The sequence below is a fragment of the Homo sapiens genome, chromosome 8 (genome assembly GCF_000001405.40).
Source record: "Homo sapiens chromosome 8, GRCh38.p14 Primary Assembly".
Lineage (NCBI taxonomy): Eukaryota > Metazoa > Chordata > Mammalia > Primates > Hominidae > Homo > Homo sapiens.
Genome location: NC_000008.11, coordinates 56,391,980 through 56,410,348, shown reverse-complemented (window position 1 = coordinate 56,410,348; position 18,369 = coordinate 56,391,980). Strand labels below are relative to the sequence as shown.

The 18,369-nt window shown below is 40.5% G+C and overlaps 1 long non-coding RNA gene across 1 annotated transcript in view; it reads left to right on the top strand.

Moving 5' to 3' along the window:
* Window positions 1–15,406, top strand: part of LOC105375849 (uncharacterized) — a 39,940-nt gene extending 24,534 nt beyond the window's left edge. Inside the window, exons 6-7 of the long non-coding RNA XR_928910.2 lie at window positions 12,607–12,741; window positions 14,958–15,406. This is a non-coding gene — a long non-coding RNA (uncharacterized LOC105375849). The remainder of the gene's footprint in view (window positions 1–12,606; window positions 12,742–14,957) is intronic.
* Window positions 15,407–18,369: the final 2,963 nt, after the last annotated feature.

The following is an 18,369-nucleotide window of genomic DNA, read 5'->3' as shown; positions in this document are numbered from 1 at the left end:
TCCACAGAGGATAATCTCCCTTTTCTTAAGTCAACTAACTTGGGACCTTAAGAACATCTGCAAAATCCCCTCACAGCAATGCCTCCATTCTTGTTTGATTGAATGACTTGGAAAAGATGTGTGCACACCACAGGCAGGAACCTTGCGGCCCTCTTAGACTTCTGCCTACCACACATTCATGGGTAAACTAACGAACCCATGACAAGTGGTTGAGGTAAGATAAAAATAAGTCAAACTCTTAGCTAATCCATTGTGAAGTTACACTTCCAAAAGTTGGGTCACGACTTTTTTGTTGTTGTTGTTGTTGTTTGTATTTGTAAACAAGATTCTGTAACATAATCCAGGATCTTGTTTATTTCCTACCCTTCCACCTGAACCCCTGTTGCTACACAGTATGCCAAGCTCAGGCAGAGGTTCAAGACATGTTTTGTTCTCTCCCGCCTTCTACAGGCTTGGAATCCCTCCTTGACACCTCAGTCTGAGGACCTGAGCCCTCTCACCTGCTTTCTTATGCTCTGATGCTGGCCAGACACCTTTCTCTCTCTGCACCTGGCAAAGATCCTCAGTCCTCTGTAGATTATTGCCCAGTGGGTCTCAAACGTGAGTGTGCACCAGTATCACCTGCAGGCCTTGTTCAAATTGAAATTGCTGGGCTGCTCCCCAGAGTTTCTGATTCCATAGGTCTGGGGTGAGGCCCAATAATTTGTATTTCCAGCAAGTTCCAAGGCGATGCTGTTGCTGCTGAGACCACACTGCTGAGACCACAATTTGAGAGCCACTATCCTTTCCCTCCCTTCACCTGAGTAGAAAATATGCAGCCCAATGAACTTACTGCCAGAGAAGTCAGTTGACTTTTAACTTGGAACACCTCAGCACCACTGACCATCAAGGACCCACATTAGTCTTTGTAGTGAGCTTCTTGGTGTCCACATCTGATGGGGCATGCTGAGCAGAACCCAAACACATTAGAAGCTAAGTTTTCAGGTCAGCAGACTTCTCTTCATGGTGACTGTTATTTCACATATTCAGAAAATATTTATTAAGCACATAATATGTGCCAGGAATGCAATTGTAAACAAGGCAGATACTTCATTTCCTGGCACCTGGAACTTGCAATAGACCACTGAGTAGTCTCTGCCCTGTCTTGTGCCAAATGCAGCTGGATCAATAAGGATTTGAATAGCTCATGTAATTGGGAAAGCCAACATCGAGCAGAGCTTTGCTCGATGTTGTGAGATGGCAACTAGATTTCACCCCAGTTGCCAAGTGTGATTAATCTCTAGGAGGGGTTGACAAGAATTCCAGGCCATGTCAGAGTTCGGTAGGGTTAAAAGATAAACTTAGGTACATCAAAATCATGTGTTTGTGTGTATGTGTGTGTGTGTGTGTGTGTGTATAAATTCATATGGACGTGTATATATATGTATATATATATGTATATATTCGTAGAGAAAGAGAGAGAAAGCACAAAAAATGGGATGGGGTAGTTATGGCTGGAATAGAAGGATATCCACCATGAGTACCTGGCTATATAACTTTGTTCTTCGAATAATTAATATGAATTACCTATTCCAAACAATAACTAAAACTAAATCTTAAAAGAATATTTTTAATTTTAAACAAACTGAAACAAATGTACCTGTGTGTATATCAAGTTAATAACACAGGAACATGTATCTCAATTTCCTTTAGAACATAGTACTTTAACCATGTGCTTATAGTGGAAGGCATTCTAGAAATAAAAAGAAACTCAGGGGAATTTTGAACTTCCTCAGCAGTTTTGCTGTTTGTAGTAATATTTATGTGTTTTGTAACTATTCTCCTTATATTGAAAGAAAATGAAGAAGAGCTATGGGAAGAAAGATTTTCAATGTAAGAGGAAAAAGATGTATATAGAATAAAAAACAAGTTAAAATGATTCAATGCTAAAGTTGATTTGAAAATGTCAATGTCAAGATATTTTAAAATATATACTATCTGGCTCTGCCACTTTAAAAAAAAAAAAAAAAACCTTAGAATTTATTGCTGCTTCAGTAGTAATGAGCAACCTAAGATCCTAGATTTTGGTGTCTGATATTCTGCTGGAAGGAACAATAATTCTTTTTTTTTTTTGAGACAGAGTTTCACTCTTCTTGCCCAGGCTGGAGTGCAATAGCACAATCTCGGCTCACCTCTACCGGGAGGTGGAGACCTCCCGGGTTCAAGCGATTCTCCTTCCTAAGCCTCCCATGTAGCTGGTATTACAGGTGCCTGCCACCACTCCCGGCTATTTTTTATATATATATATTTGTAGTAGAGATGGCGTTTTGTCATGTTGGCCAGGCTGGTTTTGAACTCCTGGCCTCAGGTGATCCGCCTGCCTTGGCCTCCCAAAGTACAGGTGTGAGCCACCACGCCCGACCCAGGAATGAAAATTCTTACAGAAACAGCTAATTTGAGTTCTGATATAGAAGTTTAAGGTGGGCCTGAGGTACCTTATTGTGCCAGAAAGCAAGGTCATTTCCAAAGCTTACAAGACTTTCCTCCTCCTCCTCCTCCTCCCCCTCCACCCCTTCCCCCTCTGCCTCCTCCTCCTCTTCCTCCTCCTCCTTTCTCTCCTCCTTCTCCTTCTTCTTTTTCTTCTTCTTCTTCCTCTCCCTCCCCTCAGAGGCGCCAGGAGTGAGGTGAGATGAGAAGTTGATGGCAGGGTCAGGGTTGAGGTGGAGGAAGGATTGTCATTTCTGGGTATTCCTTTCAAAAATGCTTGAATGACCTATATCTGGACATGAGGACACATTGGATGGACCCATGCTGAGGGTCTTCCTACAGAGTAAAAGGACTGCACTTTGTAAAATTGCCAAGGTCACGGAATTTTGGAAAGCCAAAATTTTCCTGGGTTTCCGTGGAAACCCAGAAAAGACTGAGGAATGGTTTCAGAGTAAGGGAGATTAAAAAGAATGTCAACTACAAGCAAAAAAACAATCCAATTTGTTACTACTGGGGCAGTAATAAATTCTAGGCTTTTAGGTGGCAGAGCCAGGTAATATATATTTTTTAAATATCTTGACGTTTATATTTTCAAATAATATCAATATGAATATATATTATTGATATTTTCTTTCTTTCTTTCTTTCTTTTTTTTTTTGAGCAGGGTTTCACCCTTGTTGCCCAGGCTGGAGTGCAATGGCGTGGTCTCAGCTCACCACAACCTCTGCCTCCTGGGTTCAAGCGATTCTCCTGCCTTAGCCTCTCAAGTAGCTGGGATTATACGCATCCACCACCATGCCTGGCTAATTTTTGTATTTTTAGTAGAGACAGGGTTTCACCATATTGGCCAGGCTGGTCTCAAACTCCTGACCTCAGGTGATCTGCCCATCTCGGCCTCCCAAAGTGCTGGGATTACAGATGTGAGCCACTGTGCCCAGTCGATGTTTTCAAACAATAGTAGACAACATTGGAGTGTTTGGAGAAATTTGAATGGAGACTGTGAGCTACATATTCACCTTCTGATGTAAATGGTTGTATTGTGGTTTTGCAGGAGTGTCCTTGTTTTGTGGAAACACACAGTGGAGGATTAGGTGGCAATAATGCAATGAGACATCATGCAGAAAAAGAAAAATAATAATGGATGAAAAATATATATGTGTTATTATTATGTACATATACATAGAAAGAAAGAGATAGGGGAGTTCTCTGTAACAATTTCACAAATTTTCTATAAGTTTTAAATTATCTCAAAATTTAAAAAACACACTGGGCACAGTGGTATGCACTTGTAGTCCCAACTACTTGGGAGGCTGAGGTGGGAGGATTGTTTGAATCCAGGAGTTCATGCCCAGCCTGGACACTACAGTGAGACTCCATCTCTTAAAAAAAAATAGAAACATACAATGAGATATTATTACATAATGACATTCCTCATTTTGCCCATTTGCCTTAGTTCATTTTGTGCTGCTGTAACAGAATACCATAGAGTGGGTAATTTACGATAAACAGAAATGTATTGGCTCACAGTTCTAGAGGGCGGGAAGTCCAGGATTGAGCCATCATCATCTGGCAAAGGCCCTCTTACTTCATCCTGACATGGCATAAGGGCAAAGAGAGAGTGAAAGAGAGAGGCAAGAGGGGGGCAGATTCATCTTTTTATAAGAATTCCACTCCTGTGATAATGGCATTAATGCACTCATGAGGGCAAAGCCCCTCGCAGCTGAATTGCCTCTTAAAGGTCCCACCTCTCAATACTATTACAATGGCAATTGAATTTTAATATGATTTTGGGAGGCAACAAACATTGAAAGCATAGCAAAAGTAGTGCAAGACCATAAAAATGACCCAAAAAATTTCAGTGCAAGTTGTAAGCATATAAAACAATCTCAACCGTAAATGGGAAATATTACAATTATGCCATAACCATTAAAAATTTTTGCCAAAACATTAAAAGCTCTATTACCATTGGTTATAAATGTATGAGGAAACTTAAAAATAGTAGAACTAGTATTTACTTTGTACAAAGTAATTTAAAACACTTGAAACATTGAGAATTAAAGTGTTTTATTTCTTTGTAAAGCATGTATTAAGTTCCACCCATGCTTGTCTTCTCATCATGTAACTTACCATATGGGAAAAGCATCTTTCCTATGCTTTCTTGAATTTTCCCACACCTTTCTAAGTTTGGATCAGCTTTTAATATTTTATGCATTGTGCTTTTGACATCATAAAATTACCTCTGAGAATTCTGTATGCGAGGTTTTTTGATGGCATCATTTCCTCTGGGACATATTTATCCTTTTTGTCACAACCCCCTTTCTCACTTATGTTGGTAAGTACCCTTCACTGAGTTCCCCTGAACACATAGCTGGAGTCTCTCCAATAATAGCAGTGTTCCCATTCCCAGCCAGCTATTTCTTCTATTGCTCTATTTACATTCACTTCAAATCCTGCGGCTATTTGCACAGCACAGTAAGAGTTTTCATCATCTTGAACTCGTATCATGCACTGTTGCTTCCTGCCTTGATGCCTGAACGTTTCCAATTGTGTGTCACGTTTCTTCTAAAACTCAGCTAAAGAAATTGCTTGATCTTCATGTCTTAGTCCATTATAACAAATTATCTGAGACTGGGTAATTTACAAGCAACAGAGATTTATTTCAAGGTGGAGGTAGCCATGCCTCCACAGCTCATATACTCTGCCCACCTAAAGATTTGGCACTACACAGATGCTGCCAAGGTTTACTGCTTGAGCCATCTGTAGCGGCAACCCCAGCAACATTTGGGCCTGCTTGAGACACAGCTGGGGCAGCCTGGGAGTGCTGCACCAGAATATATGAAGCAGAGACTTGAGGCAGGCCTGGACAGAGAGCTGTAAGGTCCCACTGGTGCCCTGGGCCCCTCCCTTGAAACCACTGTGCCCTCAAAATCTTGGTATTCTGGGCCTGTGATGGGAGTGGCAGCCTCAAATATCTCTGAAATGCCTTTTGGGTCATTCTCCCACTGTCTTGATGAATAATATTGTAGTTTGCCAGCCGCCATTAGTATTTTCCCCCAAACAAGCCTTTTTTTTCTTTTTTTTACTACATGGCTAGGCTGAGATATTTCCAACTCTTTAATATCTGTGTATTTTAGGATTATAAATTCCATATTTAATTCATCTTCTCTTCTTGCATTTTATCATAAGCCATCAAGAGAAGCCATGCAGCAGCCTGAACACTTAACTTGGAGATTTCCTCTGCCAAATATCACAGTTCATTGCTTGCAAGTTCTGCTTTCCCCAAAGCACAGACACAATTCAGTCAAGTTACTTGCCATTTTGTAAAAAGAATGACCTTTTGTCTAATTTCCAATAACATATTCCTAATTTTCATCTAAGACCTTATCAGAATCGCCTTTCCTGTCTATATTTCTACCAACATTCTGATCACAATCACTTAGACAATCTCTAAGAAGACCTCTTCCTCTTCTTCTGAGCTCTCACCAAAATCACCCTTAACACTCTGCTCACAGCAATTTAGCCTTGTTCTAGCATGCATTTTTTTTTTTTTTTTTGAGACAGAGTCTCACTCTGTCCCCCAGGCTGGAGTGCAGTGGCGCGATCTCAGTTCACTGCAACCTCCGCCTCCCAGGTTCAAGCAATTCTCTGCCTCAGCCTCCTGAGTAGCTGGGGTTACAGCTGCCCACCACCATGCCCAGCTAATTTTTGTATTTTTAGTAGAGACGGGGCTTCACCATCTTGACCAGGCTTTTCTTCAACTCCTGACCTCGTGATCCACCTGTCTCGGTCTCCCAAAGTGCTGGGATTACAGGCGTGAGCCACCGTGCCCAGCCTAGCATGCACTTTCAAACAGTTCCAGCCTCTACCCATTACCAAGTTCCAAAGCCACTTTCACATTTTCAAGTATTTGTTATTAACAATATCCCAATTCTTGGTACCAATTTCTCTCTTAGTCCACTTATGCTTCTATGACAAATCCTAGACTGAGTAATTGATAAATAATAGAAATGTTTTTCTCACAGGTATGGATGCTGGGAAGCCCAAGAACAAGGCACCAGCAGATTCAGTGTCTAGTGAGGGCTGCCACTCTCAGCTTTCAAGATAGTGCCTTGTTCTGTATCTTCTGGAGGAAATAAATGCTGTGTCCTCACATGGCAGAAAAGACAGAAAGGGCAAAAATGAAAAACAAGTTAGCTAGTTTTCTAGAGCCCTTTTATAAGGGCTCTAATCCATTCATGAGGGTGGAGCCCTCATGATCTGATCACCTCTTAATGCCTCCACCTCAATACTATCACTTTGGCGATTAAGTACCAGTATAAAAATATTGGGGAATATTCAGACCATAGCAGATGGCTACTGGCTGTTTTATTAAGCAGAAAGCACAGCCCTAGCTGCTTAGAGCAAACCCCAAACCCTTATTAAGTTTGCTAGACCCCTAACCCAGCCACTGAAATGCATCTGGGTCTGGGTCAAAAGCTCTATATTCTCTGGAACTAAAAGCTTTGCTGAGGATGCTGGCTCCTCTTTGGACAGGAGGCAACCTCATCTGGGTTTGGATTCCTCCTTTCATTGAATGTTTCTGCCTCTGATGTTTAATCTTCTGCATTCCTACTCCAGGGCTAGGGCAGAGGTCAGCATAATGAGGCTTTCATAGTGTCGCTCCTAAGTTTTTCTTCATGTGAAATGTTACCTCACAGTTAACAATTGAAAGATTATAGTAAAATCTGAGAGGCATAGTCAAGTCAGCCGTCAGTCTGTGCATGCCTGCTCAGGTGACCAGCAGTGACCCACTGACTCTCAAGGGATTACACAGAAAGGTCCTATGAAACATTACCCAATGTAGTGCTCCTAGTGGGATGTCCTGTGCCTGAGATGTATTGACCAAGCAAAAATATGATTTAAAAAATTAACCAGAGCAAAGGGTCAAAAACAGGGATTTGAGTTGCAAAGCAAGACTTTGGAAGACACAAATTTGAAACACAAACATTTTATGAGCTTCTTAATGTATACCCTAGAAGACTCAGCCAAGGAAAGGAAGGAACACAGAATCTGCAAGTGCAATGGGCCACTACATGGACAGGGCATCATTAGCCAACCACCACATTTTTTAGGGAAAGGCCTAGCAGGAACTCAGAGAGGATAGCAAAGAAATTGCTGATGGGCAGAGCAGGCAGAGTGACATGCATGACCTGGCCCCTGGAAAGCAGAACAGGGTGGAAATCCCAGCAGCAGACACTGTGATGTAGAAGTCCACAAAGAGTGAAAAGGAGGGTGACATCAACATCAAAAGCCACAGAGAAAGTCAACCAAGAAGACCTGTGCCTTCCTGCAATGCCTTAATGCCACCCAATGGAATGAGGCAGAGTGTAGAATTTTGACTTATCTATCCAAAAAAGACTAGGCTTTAACCTAGAAGACATAAGGAATAACTTGGAAATGGTAAGATTAATCATCTGCTGTAAGTAGAAATGGAGCCTTGAGAGCTAAGACAATTCAACTCTAGAGAAATAAAGTGCTGTTTCTTCACCTGGGTCTTGTGTTCCTCATGGCTGTATGGGATGTAGGTGTGCTATGATGAATTGATGATTAAACTGTCAGTAGCAAATACAAAAGTTTTTGGCAGGAACGGGGTTTTGAGAACAAACCTCCCAAGGCCCAAGGTATGAAGACAGACAAAGGCGCATAGATAGCGCATCCACCTGTGCACTCGCTCTTCTGATCAGCAGTGTCCAGAGGCCTAGCTAAGCTCAGGCCTCCTTTGCAGCTGGACAGTGGGCTTCCCAAATGTCATGCCCACTATTGCAGGGCAGACACTTGGCACCTGACATCAGTGATTACAAGAGAAAACAAAATGATTATTTGGAATACATGCTTATAGTGTAAGTTCAGTGATTACTGAATAAACAAGCAAAAACCTGAGTAAGAATATCTAGTACTGTACTAATCAAAACTGCCCCTGGACATTGTAGAAGAGAGTCCTGTCTAATTCTATTCCCTGCACTTATTCGTTCTGATCTTTCACACCTTTTCCTCAACATCAATCCCAGTCAATCCCAGAGAACTCCCAGAGAGCTATGACAAAAAGGTGTGTGTGTGTGTGTGTGTGTATGTGTGTGTATATGTGTGTATGTATATGTGAGTGTATACAGGGATGGTGGATATAAATACATATATGCTTTTATGTGCATATGTATAGAAACATATATTTCTATGTGCATATATAACACAATGCAAATATATACATATATGCATTTGTGTACATGTCTGTGTATGTGTATATATGTACACATATGTGTATATAGATGTGTGTATCAAAGTATTATTTTCTCAGAAGAGAAATTGGAAGGATGAATTCAACTAGAGGGAAGACAACTCTACTAAGGATTTCAAAATAGAAAAATAGGAAATTTTGCCCCAAACTGATCTTGCCAGAATACTACCCCTGCTTACCTAGTAACAGAATGCTAATGTTATTGGAGGAGCAATATGCCCAGCTAAGAGATGACATTTCTCAACTTCCTCTGCAGATGACAGTTGTCGTGAAGCTAAAAGCAGAAGTAGCAGAAGCAGGCTTTGGGGAAAATGCTCTTTTTGCTTTTTGCCTTCCCCTTCTTCCTGGTTGGAACTTAAATGTGATTGTTGAACACCAGCAGCCACATGGTGAACCTAAGAAAGGAAGCCACAGGCTTAAAAAGACATACTAGAATGACAGAAGAAAAAAAATAGTCCAACAATGAACCAATCTTACAACTTTATTTCGTGGATTCAGCAAATATTTATGAAGAATTGATTGTGAGTTTTACCCCTCATTGGGTACCAGGAATACAAAGTTAATTTGTCCAGTCCTTCCCCTTGAGAAATTCATAGTCTAGTGGAGGAGAGAGATATGTAAAGCAGTAATTATGGGATGTTAATCTTAAAAGTATTTCAAAATATTTCTCTTCTGCCATTATATATTTGATTCATATCATTTTTGTTTTCCAGGAACTTGTAAGTACACTGAGAGTTCATTGACCACATCCATGATAGCATTTGAGACTCATTCTTAAATTAAATTAAATTCAATAAATAATTACTGAATACTTGTCATATGCAAGACATTGGCTAGGTTTTATGAGGCATACAAAATGATGGAGTAACAGTCAGTTACATGTAGCTTTCTGTGAGTCCCTGAGAGGCACAAAGCATAACAAATCCACATGGTGAGAGTCATTCTTTTCTTTAGAATCCTCCATTGCAAGAAAGACTATTAAAAAAATACAGCAAAATGATACCTGTTACAGAGGAAGGCCAGTTAATAAATGTGGAAAGAATGCTAAACTAGAAAATCAGCATTTTCATGCCCAAGTGTAATCACTGATTTAGGCAAGGGTCATTAACAGATGTTAAAATCTTGAGGTGCATTGCACATTTAGTAGAATGGCTAAAATTCAAAGCACTGACAATACCACATGCTGATGGAGACGTGGAGCAACAGGAACTCCTATTAATTGCTGAAGGAAAGCAAAATGGTTATAGCCACTTTGGAAGACAGTCTGGAAGCTTCTTACTAAACTAAACATACTCTTACCACATGATCCAGCAGTTGTGCTCCTTGGTATTTATCCAAAGGACTTGAAAAGTTATGTTGACACAAAAACCTGCACATAGATATTTATAGAAGTTTTATTTGTAATTGTTAATATTCAGAAGCAACAAAGATGTCTTTAAGTGAATGGATAAACTGTGGTACATCCAGATAAAATAATATTATTTAGTGCTAAAAAGAAATAAACTATCAAGCCATGAAAAGACACAGACGAATCTTAAATGCATATTACTAAGTGAAAGAAACTAATCTAAAAAGGCTATATACTGTATGATTCCAACAATATGACATTCTAGGAAATGCAAAACTATGGAGACAGTAAAAAGTTCTGTGGTTCCCCAGGGTTAGGAGGAAGTGGGGATAAATAGGCAGAGAACAGACTATTTTTTAGGGCAGTAAAACTACTCTGTATGATACTGTAATCATGGATACATGTCATTACACACTTGTCAAAATCCATAGAACATACAACACCAAGAGTGAGCCCTAATGTAAACTACGGACTTTGAGTGATAATAATGTGTCAATGTAGGTTCATCAATTGTAACAAATGGACCACTCTGGTGGGGGATGTTGATGTTGGGAGGACTGGGGCAGGTGGGGATTATGTGGGAAATCTGTGCTTTCAATTTCCTGTGAACCTAAAACTGCTCTAAAAAATAAAGACTATAGTTTAAAGAACCATTAGGTGAAAGATTATGGGGAGCAAGAGTCACATGGTGCCCAAGTACCATTCCGCAGACTTCTAGCAATTATAAAGTGGGAAATGTGCCCGAACAAGGGAGAAATCTTGTGGTCACCACTTTCCCTAGTGACTGAATTTGCCATCATTAATAATGGAACAACAGCCTGACACTAGACATTTTAATGTTTTGCAATAAAGTGTTCCACATCATGTATGACATTTTCTTGATAAAAATATTTAATCTGAGTATAATCAACTCTCTAATTCTAACTTGAAGTTTGAAGAAGATACAGGGAACAGAAGTCCAGTTAAATGACACCATGAGAAAAGAAAGACAAATCAAGAATATGGGGCACTCTACATGACATTTGGCCTGGACTCTTCAAAAAGTCAGTGAATAGATAAATCAATAATTTTTTTAGAAAGATGAAGCAGAGCTGTTCCAGACAAAAGGATATTGAAGAGATATCACAACCAAATGCAATGCATGACTCTTAATTGGATCTTTGAGACAAATGGGGAACTTTGAATATGGATTAGATGATAGTATGAAATTGTTAATTTTATCAGGTCTCATCATTTTATTGGGGTTATATAGAATAACTCCTTCTTAGGAGATGAGGGCTCAGTATTTGCAGTATAATATGATATTTGCTTATTTTCAAACGGTTCAGCCAGAGATAGAGAGGAGGAGATAGAAAGCAAATATGGTGTCCAGACATGGTGGCTCACGCCTGTAATCCCAGCACTTTGGGAGGCCAAGGCGGGCAGATCCCCTGAGGTCAGGAGTTCCAGACCAGCCTGACCAACATGGTGAAACCTCATCTCTACTAAAACTACAAAAATTAGCCAGACGCAGTGGCATGCACCTGTAGTCCCAGCTACTTGGGAGACTGAGGCAGGAGAATCACTTGAACCCAGGAGGTGGAGGTTGCAGTGAGCAGAGATTGGGCCACTACACCCCAGCCTGGGTAACAGAGTGAGATTCTGTCTCAAAAAAAAAAAAAAGAAAGCAGTCAGGCACAGTGGCTAATGCCTGTAATCCCAGCACTTTGGGAGGCCAAGGTGGGCAAATCACAAGGTCAAGAGATCAAGATCTATGGTCTGGTCAACATGGTGAAACCCCGTCTCTACTAAAAACACAAAAAATTAGCTGGGTGTGGTGGCACGTGCCTATAGTCCCAGCTACTCGGGAGGCTGAGGCAGGAGAATTGCTTGAAGCTAGGAGGTGGAGGCTGCAGTGAGCCGAGATCACACCACTGCACTCCAGCCAGGTGACAGAGTGAGACTCCATCTCAAAAAAAAAAAAGCAGAAAAGTAGAGAATGAGAGGTGAGGGAGAGATAAGGGAGGCCATGACAGGCAACTGTATGTTATTCTTAGTGCATTTGGAAGTCTCAATATTTTTGAGCTGGGGAGTGAGATGATTATTGATGAATCTGTTGAAAAAAAAAAAAGGTAAAATGTTTGGCTTGACTGTTTGGTTCAAGTTTGGGTTCTTAGAACATTTATGTGCCATTTCCCAAAGTTTTCTGTATTGATAAGTTTTCATAATACAAATTGGGAGAAAATATTGAATCCTGACAATCAACTTGTTTAGATGATGCTGCAACTGTGTTTCACATTTTCCTAACAGAACTAAGGAGGTGTTTGTGTCCTCAGTGTAGAAATAAAGATTTCAAGATACCCACGGGAAGCCTGACATAAAACCAGTGTTATGCCTATAAATTACTTCACAGGACGCACCTTTCCTCCAGGCCACTTTGGGAGTTGAAAGTGCAGGCTGTATGCCATATATTGCACTAATACAAGCACAAGTGAAGCCCAGGCAAATTCTCATGGTTGACACTCCTTTATCTTGCACACAGACAGATCTCAGAAGTTGTGGGAGAAATAGTAAACCCAAAGTTATTTAAGAGCGAGCTTTTAGCTACCGACATGAGTGGTGTTTGCTTCAGCCCCTGTAAGGACGCCCGTGCTACCAGAGTGCAGCATTTCTGCAGGTAAGATTCATTTATTTAGCCATTCAGGAGAACATTCTAAGTGTCTGCAGCTGAGAATGAGTTTCTCTGAGCATGATTTAGTGCAATTTCTAAATAGGGGTGTGAAGTCATTCTATGATCATCTCTTTATTCCTCTTTTCTAATTGTTGTTCGCTAGCGTGGCTTTTGGCAAGTTGAGAAGAGGTGGTTAAGGACATGAGAGAAAGCCAAGAGATAGTGGAGGGAACGTGCTTGTGTGTGCCACACACATGTGCCTGAATTCCTGTCCTGGCCCCTCAGTGGAGCCCTACACCTGTCAACAAACTCGTCTCCCATGCCCTCCTCAGCAATTTCATAGTTGAGGCACAACGCTAAACAGTAGAGAAAAGCTTCCCATGCCTGCGTGTTTGGCATCTTTATGGCCAGCTGGCTGCAAACTCAGTGTCATCATCAAAGAGGCTCCTGTGCAAGTGATAGAAGCTAATATTTGCATGGCATTTTACAATTTATAAAATGCTTTGTTACATTTGATATTTGAAAATGTATAGCATTTCTGGGAGTTAAATATCATGCCAACTTCGCAGACAAATACCCAGAGGCTCACAAAGGCAAACCTTGCCCAAAGCCCTCAACTGGTCGGTGGCAGGGCCAGCAGTTGAGTCCACGTCTCCAGAGTGAATCCTACTCATTCCACCCTACATAATGTGGGTGAACATGGTACTAATACTTCCTCCATTCTCATGGCCTATTCTTCAACCTGAAGCACTCAGTACATGCCTGAAAAATGAAAGACGATCCTTGTGATTCAAGGCCCAGTTAACTGAAGTCATTTGGGGAGTTACATGTGTAGTAGTCAAAAGAAAAGGAGTTCTGGAATCATAGAATCTGGGCTCAAATCCCACTTCTACCTACAAATGGTGCAACCCTCAGCAAGTTATGTCCCCATTTAAGCCTCATAGTTACCCCACAGGGCTATTCTGAGAATGAAATAAGCACATGGTGCCATTTAGCACTTAAGTGTTTGCTCATGGGAATGCTTCACGATTTTTTTTTTTCTAACTGCCTGGTTGCCACAGCCGCCCCAGGACCTGCATAGGAATAATTGTCTTTTCTGGCCAGCACTCTCTCTATCAAGGCTTATTTGTACTTTTTTCTTTTATTCCAAAATTGAACACTTTCAGTGGTCTGAGGGTGTGAGCTATTAGTTCAGGTTTGAAGAAATGTCAAAACTCTTGTCCTCAAAGTGGTCCCAAAGCATAACAATATGTTGCTGCAATTTAGTGATTTTCATAGAAAGCTACTTGAATTTCTTTCAAGATAAATCATCTACCTTGAAAACAGACTTTCTTATACAGAAAAGTTATGAGGAAAGTCCCAATTCTCTCTTGTTCTCCACACAAAAATCCTGTGGCCCAGAATGCCTTCTCCATAATACCTGTATTTTTTTATAGGTGATAAGATACAGCTTCGTTTCATCATTGTAATGTACTATATGTTTCTAGGGTTGTGCTTGAATCAGAAAAGTCTATATAAGCTTAGAGAAGAGAGTGAATTTTTCATGGCTTAATCTTTTTGATGATTGTAAGCTTGAAATCTCCAAGTGAACACTCTAAGTCCCTAAAATTTTCCAAGGAGAATACCTTTTAGAATATAGTTAATATTTTCAATAAGTTAACAAGGGGAAGCTGTAATACCCTTTCTCCTTGTTCTTAGAGGCAGCCTTCTAGCTAAAACTCAAATGCAATCCTCCCTGCCCATTTTTCTCAGTGTCTCCACTATCCCACTGAAAACCAGACTCCCTGCCACACAACCCTGGGTCCAAGTCCTTTGTGGGATTGTAGTGGCACCACTTAACTGTTCTGCAACCCTGAGAGCACTTGATGTACTTCCAACGTCTTAGTTTACTAGTCAAATAATACTGGGCAACTCAAGGCTCGAAGATTTTATATCTTTACCTGTAAAATTGGCCTAGTAATCTGTGACCTACCTATGGGTTAAATTAGATTAGTGTAAGCAAGTGCCCTGTAGGGAAAGGTACTTGTTGACAAAAAATATTTCCATAATCATTATTTATATAAATTTTAAGTTTGACAATTGTGTCAATTGTTGTTAATTTGTATGTTTTGGAGAATGAAAGGTAAATCTCAAAGGTAAATTTCTTTGTGCAAAATGTTCTCTGTGTACTGTAATAGTTGCCATAGTATCATGGATTTATCACTTACGTTTTTCCTTATTAGAACATTCCTTTCTGCAGTCAATAAACATGGATGTGATTGCAGACACCTCAGTACTTTTGGGAAAATTTCCATATTACTTTTTGGAATCTTTGGTTTACAAGATAATTCCCAAGAAGAAAAAGAATGTTGCTGGAGAGATTGTACTTACAACGGGAGCTGGAAGTGGACTTGGGAGGCAATTGGCTATATATTTTGCCAGGTTTGGAGCCATTTTAGTTCTATGGGATGTTAATCAAGAAGGCAATATGGAAACGTGTCGACTGGCCAAAGAAAAGGGTGGTAAGAAAGTGTTTCCCTACACGTGTGACTGTAGCAACAGACAAGAGGTCTACAGAGTTGCTGATCAGGTAAGCTGACTGGTGTTCTCTGCTTCTGTTCCCAAAGAAAATACTGCATCTTGTATGCACTTTTACAGATAGAAGTTTGTCATAAATTTCCCTCAAGCTCTCTATGTGTTTCCTGCTTGATTCTGCATGTCAGAAATCAGACTATGTAACCTTCAAAAGGGAGAACAGTGTAAACAAGGCAAGTGGGGATCTGAGAAGCCTGAGCCCAGCGCTGCCCAGCTGTGTTTCCGGGAGACTCATTCACTGGCAGGAGGTGGTAGAAAAGCGGCCTACTCCTGGCTTTGCAGCTCATTGGTTGTGCAATGTTTAACAAGTTACTGGCCCTCTCTAGGTCCCTGTTTCTTCGTCTGTAAAACAAAAGGATTGAACCAAATGATCTTTAAGATCATATCCAGCTTTAACTTAACTTTCTATGTTTTGTGATTCTTTTTTTTTTTTTTTTTTTTTTTGAGACATAGTCTTGCTCTGTTGCCCAGGCTGGAGTGCAGTGGCGCCCATCTCAGCTCACTGCAACCTCCATCTCCCAGGTTCATGCAATTCTCCTGCCTCAGTAGCTGGGATTACAGGCCCACACCACCATGCCCAGCTAATTTTTATATATTGTTTTTAGTAGAGATGGGTTTTCACCATGTTGGCCAGGCTGGTCTGGAACTCCTGAGCTCAAGTGATCCGCCCACCTTGGCCTCCCAAAGTGCTGGGATTACAGGCGTGCACCAGCACACCGGGCCAGTGGTTTGTGATTCTAATGCATCATATCCATTATCATCATGTACTGAGGCTATATATGAAATATACAGTAAAAACAAAAATAAAAATAAATATAAATATGCATTTAGCATATTTTAGATCAAATTTCCTCTTAGACTTAGCCTGTTGATATTTGTTCTAACTCCACATTAACTATTGACAAATACTCTAAATTGTAGCTACCATCTGTTACGTAGCTAGCAGGTACCCTAACAGCAATGGGTCAGCTTTTGAGTAGCGTTTCAACCATGTTACCTCGAGTACGGTGTGGTGAGGCCAGACGCAGATGGAGAGAAAGAAACAGAATCGAGCATTTCCATTTTGTTTTGCTCACAGTCCCCAGGGGCAAACACAGCACAGCCTACAGGACCATGAAGGGGAGCACTGGGGTCACTCATGAAGCAGGGAGGTCGGGCCAGTGGTGGGGGCCTTTATGTGTTTTCCTCAGGAAGGAATGGGCAAGGCAGGGTAAGCATGTTCAGGACTGGTTAATTTGAATAACTTCAGGGGGCTCTAGGGCCTGGAGGCTGCCCCTGGTTGTCTGGTACCTGGCCCTGGTGTAACTGTGGTGGGCATAGAGCAGCCCAGAGTGTGAGGACTCAATAAGTGAAGTGTTTGGATATGTGGACTTAACTGGCTGCTCAGGAAGGGGAACTGATCAGCCTCTAGCCATGGCCTCAAATTGGTCAAGACAGCACTAGAAAAAAACCAAAAGCCCACTATATTACAAATAGTTACTATTCTAAGCACATTACACACATCACAATTCATTTAATCAACACAATATCACCTTCTTAGGTATACATCATTATCATCATCCCCACTTACAAATGAGAAAACTGAGGACCGAATGAATATGTAATTTGCCCAAGATCATAAAACTAATGATTAGCCAAGATTCCAACCCAGGCAGGTTGAAGCCAAAGTCTGTTCTCTTATCCACTATGCTATGGCCCAAAGGGGTGCAAACACTTTGATAACAGAATCTCCAAGGGATTTTCCTCCCCTTTGACAATCAATCTAAGCTCTATATATGGAATTCACTTATTGATCCATTCAAAAAATATTGATTGAGTCCTACTTTGTGACACTTAACCTTCTGAAGCACCCTCTTCACCCTTGACCTTCATTTTCTATTGCCTTCTTCTTTATTCGTTGGTCCCATAGGATTTGTTCTTTATAATTCATCACCAGCTAATGCAAGTATTGTTTTGTAGATCCTTAGGCATATTTTAGTACAAAGCAAGTGGGATCAAAGTTAGTCCTCATTTGTAAAAAGGAAAGACACATGGCTGGAAAAGTTAGTAGACGAATATATCCGGGATGAGCTTGGGAAGTAGTCTAACAGAGCTCCAGTCCCAGTACCACTAACTAGCCAGATCAGGACCCTGGAAAAAGTGTTTTCTTCCAAAGTATTATCCCATATAATCTTCACAACGAAGTAGGTACTATCATTTTCTCCATTTTACTAGTGATGGAGCAGAGGCAGAGAGAGTTTAAGGAACTTACCCAGGCCATAGAGCAGACAAGTGAGGGACCCCATTGCCTAGGTCAGACCCCATGCTGCATTCCCAAAGGGACATCAACAATATGTGCATAATCGAAAGACCCCTTCATAATCCTCTTTCTTTGATCAAAAGTATTGTAATCTCCTGCCTTCTTCCCCCACTGCCAACCCCTAACAAATCTTTCCTTCTTGGTCAACATTTTCTTGTTACTTAGTAGAAACCAGACTAAAACTTTAACCTAAAATTATCTTTTCATATTAAAATGTTCTTTTCCGCACTCCTATAAATAGAATTTTTCTCAGCCAACTACTTTATATGTGTTTTTTGTATTATTTCAATTATGTAGCAACTTCCAAGAAACCTAAATACTAGGGTTGTGCTTCAAGACGTTCAACAAACCACAGGCTTTACCAGATTCCTTGAAATTCGTGGAAAAGTGAATAGCAATAACAGCATTCTAAAGGTGCATGGTAATTAACTTCCCAAAATTAGAGTGAGGTAACATTCATAGAAAACCAATATATTAATAAATTGCTTTTGTTAAAATAAGTAGGTTCACAATTTATTTTCAAATGTCCAGGTCCAATCAATGATTAATATTTATCTGTATGTGTGTGAGTGTGTGTGTGCGCATGTGCACACACATGAGACTGGCTTGTTACAGCAATAATCATTTTTACTAGAAAGAGTAGTAAATTTGGAGGGAAACAGCTTTTTTGTGTGTATTTAAATTGGGTGTGAATCACTGTTGCTCTTCTCAAAAGCTATGGGTCTTTTGGCAAGATGTTAATTTCTCAGAGCCTGTTTCCT